This window comes from Homo sapiens, chromosome 4 (assembly GCF_000001405.40).
Source record: "Homo sapiens chromosome 4, GRCh38.p14 Primary Assembly".
In the NCBI taxonomy this organism is placed as follows: domain Eukaryota; kingdom Metazoa; phylum Chordata; class Mammalia; order Primates; family Hominidae; genus Homo; species Homo sapiens.
This window is the reverse complement of record NC_000004.12, coordinates 80,781,649-80,802,951: the sequence shown is the minus strand read 5'-3', so window position 1 is coordinate 80,802,951 and position 21,303 is coordinate 80,781,649. Positions and strand designations below refer to the sequence as shown.

Below are 21,303 nucleotides of genomic sequence, written 5' to 3'. Positions count from 1 at the left end.
CCTGACTTTTAACTTTTTGTCAATAAAGTACAGCTGTTTCCAGGTTCTAATTTAATGTTAATGAGAGATTTCACTATAAAGGAGTTACTAAAATTTATACAAGTTAGTAATGCAAGTGTCACAATATGGAATGCAATTTCTTACATATTGTATTATTGATGGTGCAATTTTTAAAATGTATGAAATTTACCAAAATTAAATGGGCACTACTTGTTTATACTTCAGAAAAATCGAGAGAAACACAAATACTCTCTTTCAAATTATGCTTAGTGAAGGAGATAGAAAGCAATGAAAAAGAGGCAGGATGAGACCTATTTCAAATATTGATAAGTTTTCCAGAATTTCTTCTATATACTATAGGTTTCAAATATCAAATACTTTTTGATGGCAGAAAGAATGGAGTGTATTTGGGAGCTTCTAAGTTGGTGGAGGGAATGTCTGAAGTGCTCGTAGATGACAACTTATGAACTGACATCATAGCAGCTAATAATGAAAGCATGTTAAAGGCATATACTAGAGAAACCATAATTCTATGGTTCTTTTAACATGAAATGTGTTAGAATGAGAATATGAAGTGAAAAGCAGTAAGATAAATACCACTACTCAAAGCACCCACACACTGCTAAAACAATATATTTTGAGTAAAGCCAGGCCTCAAAATGGGTAAGACTTAAGTATTCTAAAACCTCTGTCCCATTGCATTCAAAATACATTTTAAAATGATTGTTTACTCTCTCTATCCATCCTTGCAATCCCTGCAAATAGTCTTTCTTTTGTAAAATACACCAGGTGTTTGAGATAAGAACGTTTTCAAATATTTTAATTAAAATGATAGGCAAAACAATTATATTTAGACAATTTTAAACTAATTCATTTTGAAGGTTTAAATCACGTTTTGAAAAGTAGAGTGTTTTGTTCTTTATGCCAATTAGTGACTTCCTGCTTCAACAGAAAATGGCTTTTTAGAGACAAAACAACATGTTTCTCTGACATCAGAAAGTGCTTGCAAAACACTGTTGTGCTGAATTAGTTGAAAATAAATAAAAAACTTAAGGATTGCATTTCTACTGAACTTTACAGGAGCTTGAATGTGAGAAAGCAGAGTGCGTTGGGCAAAATGGGTTTTAAATTTTACTTAATCCTTCCTTGTGAAAGCAAAGGTGCCTCGTTTTGCATGGAAATTTGCCTTTTTCAAAGTGATCAACAGCTTATTTTGTTTTTCTTTATCTTTCTTCCCAATTGATGCCCTTAACTGTACAGAATTTGAGGAGGATCTGCAAACACCATAGGTAATAAGTGGAATACGATTGACTCACCTGTCGTGATTTCTTCTAACCAACAGTCAGAAGAAGCAGAATATTCTGATTTAATAATTCATAAAACTGATTTGATCAAATACTTTAAGATACAGCCTTTATTCTCTCTTATATATGTGAATTTAAGAAATAGCTTATCAGCAATCAACAATTTTCCTAGTAATGATTGGCAATGCATTTTTCCCTTTATTTGAAGTTGTTCTTCCTAGGATATTTCACTAAAATTTTTAGAGTAAGATGACAGCAAAAGATACCCATTTTATTGATAAAAATTAATACATCATTATATTTGTGTCAATCATAGATTCCATTCCATAATGCTTTCTTGGGATGTGGATAACCCCTTGCAGGTAGAAAGTTATCAAAACCATGAATATTTGAGAAACTGTGTGTTCTTAAATTGTTAAATATATAAAAATCTATATGTTCAAAAGGTTAAAAAAAAAAAAACCATAGTGTGATGGTCAGTACTGAGTGTCAACTTGATTTGACTGAAAGATGCAAAGTATTGATTCTGGGTGTGTCTGTGAGGGTGTTGCCAAAGGAGATTAACATTTGAGTCAGTGGGCTGGGAAAGGCAGACTCACCCTTAATCTGGGTGGGCACAATCTAATCAGCTGTCAGGGCAGCCAGTATATAAAGCAGGCAGAAAAACATGAAAAGGCTAGACTGATCTACATCTTTCTCCCGTGAACAGATGCTGCCTGCCCTCAAACATCAGACTCCAAGTTCTTCAGTTTTGGGACTCAGACTGGTTCTCCTTGCTCCTCAGCTCTCAGCTTGCAGATGGCCTATTGTGGGACCTTGTGATCATGTGAGTTAATACTTACTAAACTCATATATATATATGTATACATATATATATATACACACACACACACACACACACTGATTATATATATATACACATATGGACTCATACATAAAAACTCATATATAAATATATATAATATATCATATATTTATATTAATATATCATATATATATTAATATATTATATATTTATATTAATATATTATATATTATATATTTATATTAATATATTATATATTATATATTTATATTAATATATTATATAATATATTGATATATTATATATTATATAATATATTATATATTATATATTATATAATATATTATATATTATATATTATATAATATATTATATATTATATATTATATTAATATATCAATATATTATATATTATATATATTATATTAATATATCAATATATATTATATTAATATATTATATATTATATATATTATATTAATATATCATATATATTATATATTATATATATTAATATTAATGTATCATATATCTTATATATTATATATATTAATATATTATATATTATATATATTTTATTTATATAATATATATTATATATTATATTATTTATTATATATTATAATATATATTATATATTATATTATATAGTATTACATATTATTATATATTATATGTATTATATATTATATAAATATATTTATATAATATATTTATATTAATATCTTATATATAATATATTATATATTATATATATTTATATTTTATTTATATAATATATATTATAGCATTTATTATATATTATTATATATTATATATAATATATATTACTTATTATATATCATAATATATATTACATATATTATATTATATAAATATTATATTTATATAATATTTATATAATATAATATATAAATATATATATTATATATTATATTATAATATATAATTTATATATTATATAATATAATATATATAATATATATTTATATATTATATAATATAATATATAAATATATATAATATATATATTTATATATTATATAATATAATATATAATATATATATCATATAATATATTTATATATTATATATTTATAAAAATATATATATTTATAAAATATAATATATAAAATATATATTTTATATATTATATATTTATAAATATATATTTATAAAATATAATATATAAAATATATATTTTATATATTATATATTTATAAATATATAATATATAAAATATATATTTTATATAATATATTTTATAAATATATATATTTATTAAATATATTATATATATGTATTAAATATATTATATATTATATAAATATACATTTATAAAATATATTATATATATTTAATAAATATATATTTATAAAATATATTATATATATTTTATAAATATTATATATATTATAAATATTACTTATATGTATAAATATATATAAATATTATATAAATACATTTATATATATAAATATTATATAAATACATTTATATATATAAATATTATATAAATATATTTATATATATAAATATTATATAAATATATTTATACAATATATATATAAATATTATATAAATATATTTATACAATATATATAAATATTATATAAATATATTTATACAATATATATATAAATATTATATAAATATATTTATACAATATATATAAATATTGTATAAATATATTTATATAATATATATATAAATATTGTATAAATATATTTACATAAATATATATAAACTCACACACACTATTAGTTCTGTTCCTTTACAGAACCCCTGACTAATACAGATTTTGGTACCAGGAGTGGTTCTAGAGAAACAATATTAAGGATGAATTCTTTTATTGTTTTGGGGGTTTCTGGAGTTGGCTACTTAATATGATTAGACCCAAAAATGCTAAGAACTCTACTTCCAATAGTATGGAGAACACTGATAATCCTTGCTGTTAACTGTTTAGAGAGTTATGCAAAATAAATGCATTTGACATTTCTGATTCACTGCTCGTGAGAGGCAGGTAGTTTAGTGACTCTATACATAAAACGTTTGATTATGTGTGAAGAATCAAGGAATATAATAAAGCTGATTGGTTGCTCCTAAGTTCAGTGGACAAAGTGATGAAAGAAAATGATGAACTCAGGGATTCTAACTCCTGGCTTTAGAAGCAGATACTGAGCCTCAAATCTGCTAAGATTGTCCTGAGTTGGAATCTTATCTCCTGTAGAGAAAGAGCTGAAATTGTGGAAAAAAAGACACAAGCTCTAATCATGCAAGTGGCTGACCTGCAATGAAAGGTGCATGCACAGCTTCACCAGGTGTCTGCTGTTAAAGTGAGGGCATTGAATGGAAAAGAATGATCCTCCAACATGGAATGGGGATGTGTGGGAGGACACTGATGAATCTCGGGGCACTGAGTTTGTAAACTCTGGTGAACATTTTTTGCCAGAAGAAACAGCTTCCCTATCCCTAGTAGTGGCAATATCCCCTTCCTGACTCATGCTGCCATCAGCCTTTCCACTTTCATCTGAGGAGATAAACCCTGTACTGCCTGAGGCCAAAACAGTGATGGCCTCCCCTGAGGGAGTTGCCAGGCAAGATAATGTTGATTCTCACCAGGAGCCACCCCCAACACCCCTGTTTGCTTCTAGACCTATAACTAGACTAAAGTCTAGGTGGGCCCCAGAGGCCCCATGAGGAGGTGTGCTACATTTGATAAGAACTGCTTGAGTTTTCTAATTTATATAAGCAAAAATCTGGAGAACAGGCATGGAAATGGATATTAAGGGTTTGGGATAATGGTGGAAGGAATGTAGAGTTGAATCAGGCTGAATTTACTGATTTGGGCCCAGTAAGTAGGGACTCTGCATTTAATGTTGCAGCTCAAGCAGTTAAAAAAGGTTCTAATAGTTTACTTGCTTGGTTAGCTGAAATATGGATTAAAAGATTGCCCCCACTGTGAGCGAGCTAGAAATGCCTGATCTCCTTTGGCTTAATTTAGAGGAAGGGATCCAGAGGCTTGGGGAGATTGGGATGGTGGAGTGGATTAGTCACTTTACACCTGCTCATCCCAGCTGGGAAGGCCCAGAAGATACACCCTTGACCAATGCCTTCTGAAATAGATTTGTGAGGGCAGAACCTGCATCTTTGAAGAGCCCTGTAATTGCTCTTCTCTGTATGTCAGACCTAACAGTGGGAACCACAGTCACTCAACTATAAAATTTAAATACAATGGGAATAATTGGATCTCGAGGTGGCAGGGGCCAAGTGGTGGCACTCAACCATCAAAGGCAAGGGGAGCATAGCTACCGTAATGGACAGTAGAGGTAAAGCAGCAATCAGAATAGTCTGACTTGTGTAGAGCTCTGGCATTGGCTAATTGATCACGGTATTCCTAGAAGTGAAATTGATAGAAGCCTATTCCATTCCTATTTAATTTGTATAGGCAGAAAACTTCTAGGTCAAACGAACAAAAGACTAATTTGAGTTATAAAAATAGAATCATGGCCCCTCAGTCAATTTCCAGACTTAAGCCAGTTTACAGACCCAAAACCCTTTGAATGAAGTGGAAGCTGGGTCCCCTTGAGGAAGGACCAAACTACACTAGCAACAATTTATGCTGTTAATCTTTCTCCCATCCTTCCCCAAGGGGACCTTCAGACTTTTGCCAGAGTAACTGTGCATTGGTGAAAGGGAAATGATCAGACATTTTGAGGACTACTGGACACTGACTCTGAGATGACATTGATCCCAGGGGACCCAAAATGTCATTGTGGTTCTCTAGTTAAAATAGGGGCTTATGGAGGTCAGGTAATTAATGGAGTTTTAGCTCAGGTCCAACTTACAGTAGGTCCAGTGGGTCCCTGGACTCATTCTGTGGTCATTTCCCCAGTGCCAGAATGTCTAATTGGCATAGACATACTTAGCAGATGACAGAATGCCCACATTGGTTCCCTAACTGGTAGGGTGAGAGCTATTGTGGTGGGAAAGGGCAAATGGAAGTGATTAGAGTTAATTTTAGCTAGAAAAATAGTAAATCAAAAACAATATCACATCCCTGGAGGGATTACAGAGATTGGTGCCACCATCAAGGACTTGAAAGATGCAGGAGTGTTGACTCCCACCACATCCCCATTCACTCTCCCATTTGGCCTGTACAGAAGACAGATGGATCTTGGGAATGACAGTGGATTACCATAAGCTTAACCAAGTGGTGACTCCAATTGCAGCTGCTGGGCCAGTTATGGTTTCATTGCCTTTTCTCCATTACTGTCCATAAGGCCCACCAGAAGCAATTCGCCTTCAGTTGGCAAGGCCAGCAATATACATTTACCATCCTACCTCAGTGGTATATCAACGTTCCAGCTTCCTGTCATAATCTTATTCAGAGAGAGCGTGATCACTTTTCACTTCTGCAAGATATCACACTGGTCCATTACATTGATGAAATTGTGCTGATTGGATCCAGTGAGCAAGAAGTAACAAACACATGTGACTTATTGGTGAGACGTTTGCATGCCAGAGGATGGGAAATAAATCCAACTAAACTTCAGAGATCTCTACCTCAGTAAAATTTCTAGAGGTCCAGTGGTGTGGGGCCTGTTGAGATATTCCTTCTAAGGTGAAGAATAAATTGCTGCATTTGGCCCCTCCTACAAGCAAGAAAGAAGCACAATGCCTAGTGGACCTATTTGGATTTTGGAGGCAACACATTCCTCATTTGGGTGTGTTACTCTGGCTCATTTATCAAGTGACCTGAAAGGCTGCCAGTTTTGAGTCCAGAACAGGAGAAGGCACTGCAATAGGTCCAGGCTACTGTGCAAGCTGCTCTGTCACTTGGTCTATATTACCCAGCAAATCCAATGGTGCTTGAGGTGTCAGTGGCAGATAGGAATGCTATTTGGAGCCACTGGCAGGTCCCCATACATGAATCACAGGAGAAGCCTCTAGAATTTTGGAGCAAGTCCCTGCCATCTTCTGCAAATAACTACTCTTATTTGAGAGACAGATCTTGGTCTGTTAGTGGGCTTTGGTGGAAACTGAATGTTTGACTATGGGTCATCAAGTCACCATGCGACCTGAACTGTCTATCATGAACTAGGTGCTTTCTGACTCAACTAGACATAAAGTGGGTCATGCACAGCAGTATTCCATCATCAAATAGAAGTGGTATGTATGTGACTGGGCTCAAGCAGGTCCTAAAGGCACAAGCAACTTACACGAGTAAGTGGCTCAAATGCCCACGGTCTCCACTCCTGCCACTCTGCCTTCTCTCCCCCAGCCTGCACCAGTGGCCTCATGGGGAGTTCCCTATGATCAGTTGACAGAGGAAGAGAATACTAGGGCCTGGTTCACAGATGGTTCTGCACAATATGCAGGCACCACCTGAAAGTGGACAGCTGCAGCACTACAGCCCCTTTCTAGGACATCCCTGAAGGACAGCAGTGAAAGGAAATATTCCCAGTGGGCAGAACTTCAGGCAGTGCACCTGGTTGTGTACTTTGCATGAAAGGAGAAATGGCCAGTTGTGCAATTATATACTGATTCATGGGCTGTGGCCAATGGTTTGGCTGTATGGTCAGGGACTTGGAAGAAGCATGATTGGAAAATTGATGACAAAGAAATTTGGAGAATAGGTATGTGGATGGAGTTCTCTGAGTGGTCAAAAACTGAAGATATTTGTATCCCATGTGAGTGCTCACCAATGGGTGACCTCAGCAGGGGAGGATTTTAATAATCTAGTGAATAGCATGCCCCGTTCTGTGGACACCACTCAGCTTCTTTCCCCAGCCATCCCTGTCATCTCCCAATGGGCCCATGAACAAAGTGGCCATGGTGGCAGGGATGGATGATATGTATGGGCTCAGCAACATGGGCTTCCACTCACCAAGGTTGACCTGGCTATGGCCACTGTTGAGTGCCCCATTTGCCAGCAGCAGATACCAACACTGAGCCCTCAATATGGCACCATTCCTTGGGGTGATCAGCCAACTACCTGGTGGCAGGTTGATTACACTTGACCTCTTCCATTATGGAAAAGGTATTGTCCTCGCTGGAATATACACTTACTTTGGATATAAGTTTGCCTATCTTGCACACAATGCTTCTGCCAAGACTACCATATGTGGACTTATGAAATGCCTTATCCACCATCATGGTATTTCACACAGCATTGCCTCTGACCAACGCACTCACTTTCCAGCTAAAGAAGTGTGGCAGTGGGCTCATGCTCATGGAATTCACTGGTCTTACTATGTTCCCCATCATCCTGAAGCAGCTGGATTGATAGAACAGTGGAATGGTCTTTTGAAGTCACAATTACAATGCCAACTACGTGACAGTGCTTTGCAGGGCTGGGGTAAAGTTCTCCAGAAGACCCGTGAATCAGAGTCCAATACATGATACTGTTCCTCCCATAGCCAGGATTCACAGGTCCAGGAATCAAGGGGTGGAAGTGGAAGTGGCAACACTTGCCATCACCCCTAATGATCCACTAGCAAAATTTTTGCTTCCTTTTCCTACAACATTACATTCTGCTGGCCTAGAGGTCTTAGTTCCAGAAGGAGGAATGCTGCCACCAGGAGACACAACAATGATTCCAGTAAACTGGAACTTAAGATTGCCATCTGGACATTTTGGGTTTCTCCTACCTTTAAGTCAACAGGGTAAGAAGCAAGTTACAGTGTTGGCTGGGGTGATTGACCCAGACTATCAAGATGAAATCAGTTTACTTCTCCAGAATGGAGGTAAGGAAGAGTATGCATGGATCCATTAGGGCATCTCTTAGTATTACTATGCCCTGTGATTAATGTCAATGGGAAACTACAACAGACCAATCCAGACAAGACTACAAATGGCCCAGACTCTTCAGGAATGAAGGTTTGGGTCATTCCACCAGGAAAAATAACACAACTTTCTGAGGTGCTTGCTGAGGGCAAAGGGAATACAGAATGGATAGTAGACGAGGTAGTCATTAATACCAGCTACAACCACATGACCAGTTGCAGAAATGAGTCATGAGGAGTATTTCCTCTATCTTTTGTTAAAAACATGTTTGTGCATGTATACACTTGTACTAAGAAAATATCTTCATTTTATTTCCCTTTTCCCATATCCTGTGACATAAGATTTATTGACTTCATATCAGCATTTAAGTGATGTTAACTTTATGTAATAGCATTTGGGTTGGGATTTGGTGTGTTTCTGGTTGTACGAAGGATAGTTGTACTATGTTAGATGAAATTATGACCTTATTATTGTCTTTATTTGAAGATTATGTATGATCTCAGGCAATGTGTATGGGGCAAATTGACAAGGGGTTGACCTGTGATGGTTAATACTGTCAACTTGATTGGATTGAAGGATACAAATTATTGATCCTGGGTGTGTCTGTGAGAGTGTTGCCAAAGGAGATTAACATTTTAATCAGTGGGCTGGGAAAGGCAGATACACCATTAATCTGGGTGGGCACCATCTAATCAGCTGCCAGCATAGCCAGGATATAAAGCAGGCAGAAAAACGTGAAAAGGCTAGACTGGCCTAGCCTCCCAGCCTACATCTTTCTCTCATCCTGGATGCTTCCTGCCCTTGAACATCAGACTCCAAGGTCTTCAGTTTTGCAACTCAGACTGGCTCTCCTTGCTCCTCAGCTTGCAGACAGCCTATTGTGGGACCTTGTGATAAAGTGAGTTAATACTTAATAAACTACCATACACACACACACACACACACACACACACATAACTAATAGGATATAAATATCCTATTAGTTCTGTCCACTAGAGAACCCTAACACATGTACTTTAAAATTTCATTTATTTAGCATATGAAAATGAATTTTTGAAGCTCAAAATTCATTGTTTCCATTGTTGCACAAGAAATAGATGTCCCTCAATTACATAGTCAGAATATAAACAAACTGGATATTATTAGATTTCTACATTTACATAAACATTATGGAAAGACCAAGCTAAAAGTCTTCCTTTGTCTTACAGCTAAAAATATACACAAAACTTTAGATAACCAAGTTTTTATTTAGATTTAAGAGCTTTATGTGAATATGTGTTGATTCTGCAAAATTTAAATTTGCCTACACAAGCTGGGCTGTGAAAGGGATAAACGCAGAAAACCTATCTGAACAAATATTTCTCAGCACAGACTTTGTTGATGCAAGAATATAAAGAAAATAAATTCCAGGTATGATTTACTTAACAACTTTGACTATTTGCCTTATTAATATGATCTCAAACCCACAACCACTATAAAAAATAACATCTAAATGAAACAAGCTTAAAATATACCATTACTGTAATGACAGCTTCAAATATCAACACTATGATTTCACTCAGTGTTTTGAGTTCTAATGTATTTCTTCCTTCTCCAAAGGTTAATTTAATGTTTTTCACTATCTCTGGGAGGGATGTTTTTGTACTCATGTCTAGTCTATTACTTACAGTTTAGGAGTTTAATCCAAAAGTATAATAAATCCTAACGCAACTCAGAAAGTTCAAAATACTTATGAGACCAAATCAACCCAGACATAATTTACTTCAAAAGTCTGCCTGACCCCTGCAAATACTTCACTAACCAATAATGTGAAGTAGAGATTATTGTCTTTATCAAATATTATTAAAGGCACACCTCAGTGCTACCAAGGAGCTAAATTTTTAATTACATTTTATTTTAACTTTTTATTTTAATATTTACACACAGTGGCTATTATATACAGAAATTTATCTGATAATTTCAAGCTACAGACACAAAGTCATATATAGGGTGTGATAACATTATATAAATGTTCAGATAAATTTTATTATAACATTGAATTATTCATTTCAGTTGTATTTTATTTAGTAGCCATTTGCTGAAGTTGTTTATATTTTTGATAACCCCGCTCCCTGCTCCTCAGTGTCATTCTCCATGCTTCTGAGAACACATGTGAATAGCTAAGATTTCATTCATTTCAAACATACAGATATATATATGTATATATATATATATCTGTCAATATGTCATTCTGTGAGGGAATATGGTCTCAACTTCCCTTTTCAATGAGATTCTACATTTTATGTTGATCATTTCTTCAGGTAAAAATACAGGTTAACTCTCTGAAATCTTCACTCATTGCTCTTTGTTCCTAGACCTGTGTTCTTTTCTAACTCAGCTTGCACATATTTAGGGGTTTGCAAAGGCATGTTAAAGCAGTATGAATTTTACTCCCTCTGCATCAATAAGATGCTCATTCTCAGATTTCAGTGTTAAGTCTTCAATACGCATGGAAAGTTTACTTCTATCTTACTGAAATAATTAATTTCTTAAAATGTGCTGTATCTCAACAATTGCTATAATTGCTAATATACCTTATTAAGGGCCTCCTATGTATAAGAATGGTATTAAATATGTTGTACATATTATCTCATTTAATCTTCACTACAACTCTTCAGAATAGGCACCATTATCTCCAATAATACCTCTTGATTGAGAGTCAAGGAGGTTAAATATTTGCCCAAGTTTACCCAGCTAAGAAATAAAACAGCTAGAATTCGTATCTACTCTATATGACCTTAAAGACCACAGATTTATATATTTTTCCTGAACTTCCTATCCATAATAGGGATTTTTTTTTTATTTTCATGGAACAAAAGGAGACTTGTTAAGTAACATTTTATTTCTCTAGAATAATAATAAAATCTGCGATCAGAGCATTCACCCTAATACTGTGTTCATGTTTCTTTGAAGATGGTTAAGAGCTAGTCATTGAAAACTTATAAGGTTATTTTGCTTTGTTTTGTTTTTGGTGGGGATGTTAGGGGAAGAAAATGTATGATTGGCATTATATAATTGGAAATTTTCAAAGCCTCAGTTATGTAGTCCAGTGTTTAACGTATATTCAAAAATAAATTGATAAATGTCCCCATTAGAATTCTAATATGGTAATCATTTTTGCTATTTAGGATTTGGGGTAAAATATTGTATTCTAATTATTAAATGAATGTTCTTTGTTCACATGTAATAGTCATGGTAAATTTAGCAAACAATTCTCCCCGGTAACTTCTGAATATCCTGCTGATTGTGGTTTGTATTAGTTTGGGCTGCTATAATAGAGCACCATAGATTGGATGGCTTATAAACAACACATTTATTTTTTGTGTTCTAGGGGCTGGAATTCCAAGATCAGGATGCCAGCATAGTAGGAACCCAGTGATGGCCCTTTTCTGGGTTACAAACTGCAGACTTACTGTATCCTTACCTGATGAAAAGAGAGAGAGTTAGCTAGCTCTCTCGGCTCTTCTTATAAAGGCACTAATCTCATTCATGGGGGTTCCACCGTCATGATGTAATTGTCCTTCAAAGGCCCTCACCTCCTAATACTATCACTTAGGGAGTGAAGATTTCAACGTATGAATTTAGGTGGGGAGGTCACAGACTTTCGGTCCATAGCATGATTCAAGATGGGTTCCAGTATCTGTAAAAAAGAAAATTGCTCTGACCACTAAGACAGGGACTTTCAGACCTTTGAGGGTTGTGAAATTTCTATGTGTTATCTTTTGACTATGAAACTTCAAAGTGCTGCTGTGAGCTAGGAAACATGGAGAAACTGCACATAATTTTGCCACAGGTCAATTCATATTTCACAGAAATTATGCATTTAAAGTAGACCTGGTGGTTTTCAAACCCTTAAATAGCAAATTTTGGGGATGCTTCAATAATGATAATAGTGCTAAATCTTAGTTTACACACAAAAGAACTGTAATAGAAATTATCATGGAAAGGCAAAAATTGTTTTGATTTTGGGGGTGAAAATATGGTGATTCTGACTTATTTGTTAGATATTCTTGAGCAAGTCCCCTACTGATTCCTACTAAGGTAAGAAAATACTAGTAGATATATTAACACTTATATTTGTCTGCCTACTAGTGGTCGAATATAAAGACATATTTCATTTGTTTAAGGTGAGTGGTCTATGACAGCAAAATAATTAGATTGCTAACCTAAGGAAAGAGCACAGCTTTAAAATATCTGAGCAGATTAATAAATGTTTATGCTTGATGAGAAGGCATTAAATTTTGTCAATACTGGAATTGCGGTCAAGGGTAGGTCCTCAAAACAGCTTCCTAAGACTTATTTTCTGGGCAAATCTGTTATTCTGTACTTCTGTTTGCTCATCTCTAAAGTAGTAATAAAAATAAGCCATGCGAAGAATAAATACGTGTCAAAATACTTAAACATAGTTCATGCTAATAAAGTTTGCTTATTCACTCATAGATGTGAAAGTAATTGAACACTTATCTATATAAATCTTTAGAACAGAATAATTTATCAACATATTAACAAAATCGTCTAGTAATTTGATATCAGGTAACTTTGTATCAGTATTAACTTTTGCCCAAATTCATGAGGCTATCTAATGTAGGTAGAATGGGTTCTAATTGAAATTAACAGTCCTTTCTAAATTTCATGCTGCTCTCCTCCTAAACCTTGACCCAAATATACTAATAAGTCAGTTTCTTCTTGGTGCTTAAGTCACTACAACATAAGATTAAGTTGTTTACAAAGGCATGCCCAGATTTTAGGACTGCAATGGTTAGGATAGCTTCAATAACATCTTACACACCAGGCAGGCTGAAGAAACACAGGTCAGAACAGAGCTGCTTGGATATTTTTATACAGATAACAGCTATTCACCTCTATTTCCTAGAATTGAAGACTTTTCATAACCAAAATCTCTTAGTATTTTAGTATGCATGTATGTATAATCTGTGTATGGAAAAATAACTTCAGCCTTTTATGTTAACATTATTCAAGAACTGTATTTCAGCAACCCTCAAGTGACTTGGCAATGTGCCAAAGAGAGCAGATATGGGAGATGAAGAAAGTATTAGATGTTTATGTTAAGTCAACCACACTTAATTTAAAGGCTTACTCATTCCAATGACAACCAAAGCTTTGAAAACCCAAAAACATATTGTCTAACCCTAAACCACTTCTAATAAACAAGGACTTTCTAGTTACCACAGAAAATTATGTTTCAGAGGCCGATTATGTGTCTTCTTGCCCTTTATGGATAATGGCTTTTCTCTTCCTCTCACTTCCCTTCCCCTCACCCCCAGAGAAGCTGGCCAGTATAAACTGTGCACCTAGAATGGTCAGCAAACAGAAGAAAAGATCTTTTCAAACAAATTTATTCATAGCTCTAGTAAGATACCATTTACAAAATACTTAGGATGTTCTAGCTAATGAGCTTATCACTATGCACACACACCCCATAGAGAGGATTATCACACACACTATATATACACACACATATATGTCTATACACATATATACATATATATGTCAATATATTTAATTGAATCTCAAAATAACAAGATGTGATGGGTACACTACATTTTAATCCTCAAATGGACATGACAAAACTGAAAGCATGACAGGTAAAATTAGTTACCCAAGTTATCCAACAGTTAGTTCAGTTAGATATCGGTAAAATGAGGCTATAGGTCTACTTCTGCTTAACTCCCAAGCTTATGAACTTTTATTTTTCAGCATTGATGGCTTACGCAGAGTTAGACACTGTGCTCAGGGACTAAAAGTACAAATAAAGACAGGTAAGACCAGATTCTTTGCCTTCAATGAGTTCACATTTGAGTTGGGGAAAGTCTATATAGTCCTATTTTCTACATTTAATTAAAATGTAATAAAAATGATTCTCAAAGTGTAATCCCCAGATTAGCAGCATTGACATCCCCTAGGGACTTGCTAGAAATGCAAAATCTCAAGTCCCATTGCAGACCTACTGAATCAGAAACTCAGAGAGTGAGTCGCAGGAATCTGTATTTTAGTAATTTTGGTGCACACTGAAGTTTGAGAACCGGTAGCTTAGAAAGACATGGATTAGAGGGGAACGCACAACTTATCTCACAGATATGAAAGAGGGATTTCTGGAGAAACTGACACTTCAGCTGTGTCAGGGAGGATTTATAATTTTTTTTCAGGCAGAATGGATAGCATGACCAAAAATAGATAGGGAAAAACTCCATATGTTTGATATCCCTAGAAAGTGAAAGTCAGGGAGTGGCAATAGATAAATTAGAATTAGGTGGGCTGTAGTCTACCCATATGCCTTAAATATTTTAGGCCTTGTTTTATGTAGTGCTGGCATAGGAGCTCTGGTAACTGAAAGGACCTACTATAAAAAGGGCTTGGAATTGATGTTTCTGCAAAATTTGGGTTTCCTGTTGGTCACATAACTGTTACTAACCGTGGTTACCTTGAGCTTCCTCAGGATGCTCTTTGGTGGTGTGAGGAAGATACTTTGCTGTCCAAGAAGGAAGTACTATAAGGAAATCAAGAAGGAATTGACTCAGTTGCTTCTTAGAAACTCTGAAGCTCTCTGGGCTGTGACACATTTAAAGAAAGGTGACTGAATTAGAGTGAAAAGAGGGAAGAAAAGGGGTAGAAGGATAGGAAAAGGTGATTTTTACTAAGATTCAGATTAACTTAATTCTAAGTAAAACACACACAACATTAACAACAACAACAAAAGGGAAATTGAGATTAACCACAGGGATATATGTGGATATTGCATATTTACTATATATATATATTATGTTTTATATATATATAAAATATTATATATATATATTCCATGCCCAGCCCAGGAGATAAGACATTATCGCATTATCTAAGCTACTTTTGAGAGTACCAAGGTCAAGGATCAGCACTGCACACTTTCACTTATTCCCTCCTGTATCTTGAGAGCATTCTGTTGTTAACAAGTTTGTTGAGAGTATTATTTTCTAATCATTCAACCCATTTTATTGGGACAAATCTCTGAATATCATCTTTCTCTATCTTATTGATCAAGTGTATCAGAAGGATATATTTGTTTGCACAAATGGTATATGTATTTTGAACAGGGAATGATTACATTTAAAGTAATTATTTTGCATTAATTACTGGAGAATCTGAGTTACATAAATTGTCATCCAGATTTAAGCATTGGTAGCAATATAGCAACCCTTCAAGCATTGGTAGGTAGCACTGTAACAACCAAGAGACACTTTCCAACTCTGGGGCCTCCAGTGGCTGAAGCAGTTACAAATTTAGCATTCTCTCATTTTAAGAATCCCAAAATATTTAGTGATTGCCTTGATAGGATTCCAGTAAAAAACAGCTGTCAAAATGTATCATATATTTGCAAGCCTGCTACACAGCACAGTTACTATAATTGGTTGAGGTTTGTTTTGTTTTCATTTGACTTTAAAAAGGTTATGGAAAGCATAATTTAGGTTTGGCCAAACTTTTATTAATATTCACAGAAAGACTATAGTCCATAATTAGACTTCAGTTTTTAAAGTAGTTCATATTTGAAAAGTGGAGAAGCACGTACGTAGCAATTTATCTTTACAGCTTCATTAATCTGAATGTCAAACCCTCTTGGACTGTAAAGTGTATAGTGTTGTAAATCTTCACTTTTTAATTTGTTGTATCTGCTACATCAAATAGCCAAAGTAATTTGGTCAGCTGTGTTTTCATTGGTTTTAATGTCTCCCTTCTACCTCCTCTCCACCCCAAACTATGACTTAATTACACTAAGGTTATCTTCTTAAACCAAGGCAAGAAAATATCCTGGAATACTAGTTCTTTCTGCAAAAACTATAGCCCTCAAAACAGAGGGTATACTTCACAAGCCACATGTCTATCACAAGTATCTTAGAATTCAGGGTAACTAGTTTACTGGTTAAATCAGAGCCAAAGATAATAGCAATTTCAAATTGCAAGATTTCTAGAAAATATGTGGAGGTCCTTTTGAACATTAAAAGAAAAATAATCTTGCAAGGATTTTTTAAAATTATTCTGTTCTGCTTTGCCCTGAACATTAAATTTTATTACTAGATTTAAGAAGTGTACCTCAAAAAATATTAATTATTTTACTGCACTGAGTTACATTAACTGTGTTTTAAGCAAGGCACTTTCCTAAATTGATGAAACCACTTATAGACTCTTTCAATTAAAAAAGTCACACTCTGTGGAAAATATTAAGCTCAGTAACCATTGGGAAAAAAATATCCATTCAGATGGCTTCAATAAACAGCTTTATAATTATGTCTCATAGATGAGAACATCTATACTAACCTCTTGCTCTCCATGTAGCCTAATGATTTTTACTAACTAAAACACATTGCAATTTCATTGTTGAACCTGATCTTAGCCAAAAGGCCAATAAGTGATTATTTAATTGTTAACAAAAATCATCTATGCAAGATCCCATAATTCCAAATTTTCACAATTTCTACTAAATAAATGTTTGGGGCATTTAATGCAAGCATCCAGCAGAAAATTGCCAAAGGTTACTAGAGTATCTATTGAAATTCTGGCCATGAAAATAGAAAGGAAATGGTAAACCCTACAGATACTCTGGAAGAAGAATTATAGACTTGATGGTTAAGAGAACATTTTAGCTCAAGGACAGTGGTGAATGAAATACCATTGGTAAGGGCGGGAAAATAGGATACCACATAGAGTTATCCATGAAAGTATAATCATAGTCTCTTCAATATACGATGCTAGGAAAACTGGATTTCCACATGCAAAATAATGAAATTGAACTGTCTCATACCATATACAAAAATAAACTCAGATGGATAAAATGACTAAATGTAAAACCTAAAACCATAAAACTCCTAAAAAAAAAAAAAACATAGAGGAAGAGCTCCTTGACATTGACCTTGGCAATGATTTTTTTGAATATCACACAATAAAAGCTCAGGTTATAAAAGAAAACAAAAATAAATGAGACTACATTCTGCACAGCAAAGAAAACAATCAACAAAATGAAAAGGCAACCTATGGACTGGGAAAAATATTTGCAAATCATATATCTGATAATGGATTAATATCCAAAATTTGTAAAGAAATCATACAACTCATTAGGAAAAAAACAAATAACCTGATTAAGTAATGGGCAAAGGACATGAGTAGATATTTCTCTAAATAAGAAATAAAAATGGCCAACAAGACCAGGAGTGGTGGCTCATGCCTGTAATCCCAGCACTTTGGGAGGCTGAGGCGCACAGATCATCTGAGGTCGGGAGTTGGAGACCAGACTGACCAACATGGAGAAACCCATTTCTAGTCTCCACTAGAAATACAAAATTAGCTGGGCGTGGTGGCACATGCCTGTAATCCCAGCTACTCAGGAGGCTGAGGCAGCAGAATCACTTGATCCTGGGAGGCCAAGGTTGCGGTGAGCCGAGATGACACCATTGCACTCCAGCCTGGGCAACAAGAGCGAAACTCCGTCTCAAAAAAAGAAAGAAAGAAAAGAAAAAAAAGAAAGAAAAGAAAGAAAGAAAGAAAGAGGCCAAGAAGTACGTGAAAAGGCATTCAATATCACTAGTCATCTGGGAAATGCAAATTAAAACCACTATGAGATATCACCTCATGTATGTTAGGATGGGCATCCTCAAAAGACAGATCACAAGTGTTGGCGAGGGTGTGAAGAAAAAGGAACCTTCGTACACTGTTAGTGGGAATGTAGATTGAGTTCTGTGAAAATTAAAAATGGAACTACTGTATGACCCAGCAATCCTTCCTCTGGGTATATACACAAAGGACTATATTTTTACACTAAAGGAGTATATCTACACCACTTTGTAAGAATACTTGCATTTCCATGTTCATTGCAGCAGTATTCACAATAATGAAGATACAGAAACAACTATATATAATACACACAAATGGAATATTATTTAGCCTCTAAAAAAAGAGATCCTGCCATTTGCCCCAACAGGGACGAACCTGAAGGACTTTATGCAAAGTGAAATAAGCCAGACACAGACAAAAATATTGCTTTATCTCATTTATATGTAGAATCATAAAAAAAGTTGAATATACAGAGATAGAGAGTAAAACGGTGTTACCAGGGGTGGGGGTGGAGAGGAGAAGAAAGTTTATGAACTGGGTTGACTTCTAACTACACTGTTTATCAAAATAAATTAATATGAAAGGATTAAAATGGAAACTTAAAGCAAAATGTAAGAAGGAGCAAGGTTGCAATATTACAATTTAGGATATTTTGTTGAACTAAAACAAATTTTGAAAGATTCCTAAAAACAAAAAATGGGTTCTATTTTAGAACCCAGTGATGTTGTTCAAAATGCCATAATATATGTATAAGCACTTTGAAAAAGTCTTTTGCAATGATATATTGCTTTTAGCCTAATTAATATTTGTTATAGTTTTAAAACAAAGACCTATTTCAGAATTCAAGTGATAGAAACATTAAAGAAGTTTTACATTCTATAATTTTACATCCATTTATGAAGGAAAATGAGTTTTTGAATACATTATAATTATGTAATAATGGCACCACTTAATAGCTATGCTACCTTGGACGAATTGCTGAAATATTCTAAGCCTTAATTTTCTCATCTATAAAATGGAGGTGCCTCGTATGGTAGCCAGCCCCCAAAATGGCCCCCAATGGTCCCTGCCTGCTAGTATTCAGGTTGTGATCTAGTTCCCTCCTACACTGAATAGACTGACTTGAGTAACTAACAGAATATTGTGTAAGTGACATAGTGTTTCTGAGCATAAAAGAGATTGAAGCTTCTGTCTTACTTTATTTTTCAACCACTCTTTCATCTTAGAAGTGGATACTAGAGTCTCAGTCAAGCCTTCAGAGATTTGCTGCCTTAAATAACATTTTAGCTGAAATGAAGCATGAGAGATCATGAGCCAGAATTACTCAAATAAGCTGCTTTCCCTAATTTCTCACTTACAGAATTATGAAATAATAAATACAAGTTTTGGTGTAATTTTTTATGCAGCAATAGATAACTAATCTACTCTGCCTGATAAGGTCATAAGAATTACATACTTGTCTGAAGCCATTTGAAAAGTATCTAGAATGTAATGAATACATAAGAAGTGTTCATTAAATTCCTGAGCACCAGTAGATTTTAGGAACTGGGATATGGATACACTGATATATGTAGATATCTACATGGAATATATATGTAATTACACACTCGTGTGCACCCACACATATATGTATATTATATATGAATATATTATATATTCATATATGTATGCCATATGTGAATATATTATATATTCATATATGTATATTATATATGAATATATTATATATTCATATATGTATATTATATATGAATATATTATATATTCATATATGTATATTATATATGAATATATTATATATTAATATATGTATATTATATATGAATATATTATATATTCATATATGTATATTATATATCAATATGTTATATATTCATATATGTATATTATATATTAATATGTTATATATTAATATATATTGTGTATATATACATATAATTTAAAGTCCATATAGTCAGCACTCTATTTCAGGTGTCAGAAGACCCAACTCAAGCTGTCTTAAGCTGAAGAAAAAGAAAAATTTGTTGTTTAAAAATAACTAAAAGTATGATAGGGCTTGTTTCACAAACTGCTAAATTCAGGAGCTAAAACAGTATCCTATCTCTTTCCATCCATGGGCTTTGCTCTCCTCCATTTTTGTTCTCATATTGTTTCCAGCAAGAGGGATGTGGAAGCTTCACTGCTACATCTTTTAGGTTCCAATCTGGTGGAAAAGAAGATGTCTCACTTTTGCTTTGACTGAAGAATGTCAATGTCCCTGAACCAATCACACAGCCAAAAAAAAAGAAATTCCATAATTGTCCAGATAAAATCACATACTTCTTCTGAACACATAGGCTAAAAGGGAAAGCGGGGATGCCTATAATAGGCTGAATGATTCTGGGCAAAAATAGTAGATGTCTCATAACAATTATATGAAGTAGACATATTATTATCACATTTCACAAAGGACAATAAAGCACAAGGCTTGAGTAGTGTGCCTGGAATTGCACAGCTGTAAGTAGAAGAGCCAGTCAGATTCCAGAGCCCATGTGCTGGACCACATTATTATATTTCCTTTCTAAGGGACCTTTTTTTTTTTTATTCTATTGTGGCTTAGCAATTTGAGTTATTCAGATGCTACATTTGTTCCACTTCCTTTATCCTAAATTATACCCCTGTCCTATGTAATCTGGTCATTTTCTCCAATTATCCAATCTACTTAAACTAGGAAACTTACTAAACCTTGAGTCATATCAAATACCTCAAGTAGGCCTGACCATAGAA

The 21,303-nt window shown here is 34.0% G+C and overlaps 1 protein-coding gene across 6 annotated transcripts in view; it reads right to left on the bottom strand.

Annotated features, from left to right (window-relative positions):
- CFAP299 (cilia and flagella associated protein 299) overlaps positions 1–21,303 on the bottom strand; it is a 642,486-nt gene that overhangs the window by 160,799 nt on the left and 460,384 nt on the right. The window contains exon 5 of one of the 6 annotated variants that reach the window (XM_011531816.3): positions 10,815–12,577. The exons of the other annotated variants lie outside the window; for them this stretch is intronic. Coding sequence (XP_011530118.2) covers positions 12,506–12,577 — 72 coding nt within the window. The 3' untranslated portion in view covers positions 10,815–12,505. Of the gene's footprint in view, positions 1–10,814; positions 12,578–21,303 lie in introns of those variants that run through there. 6 annotated transcript variants of the gene reach the window in all.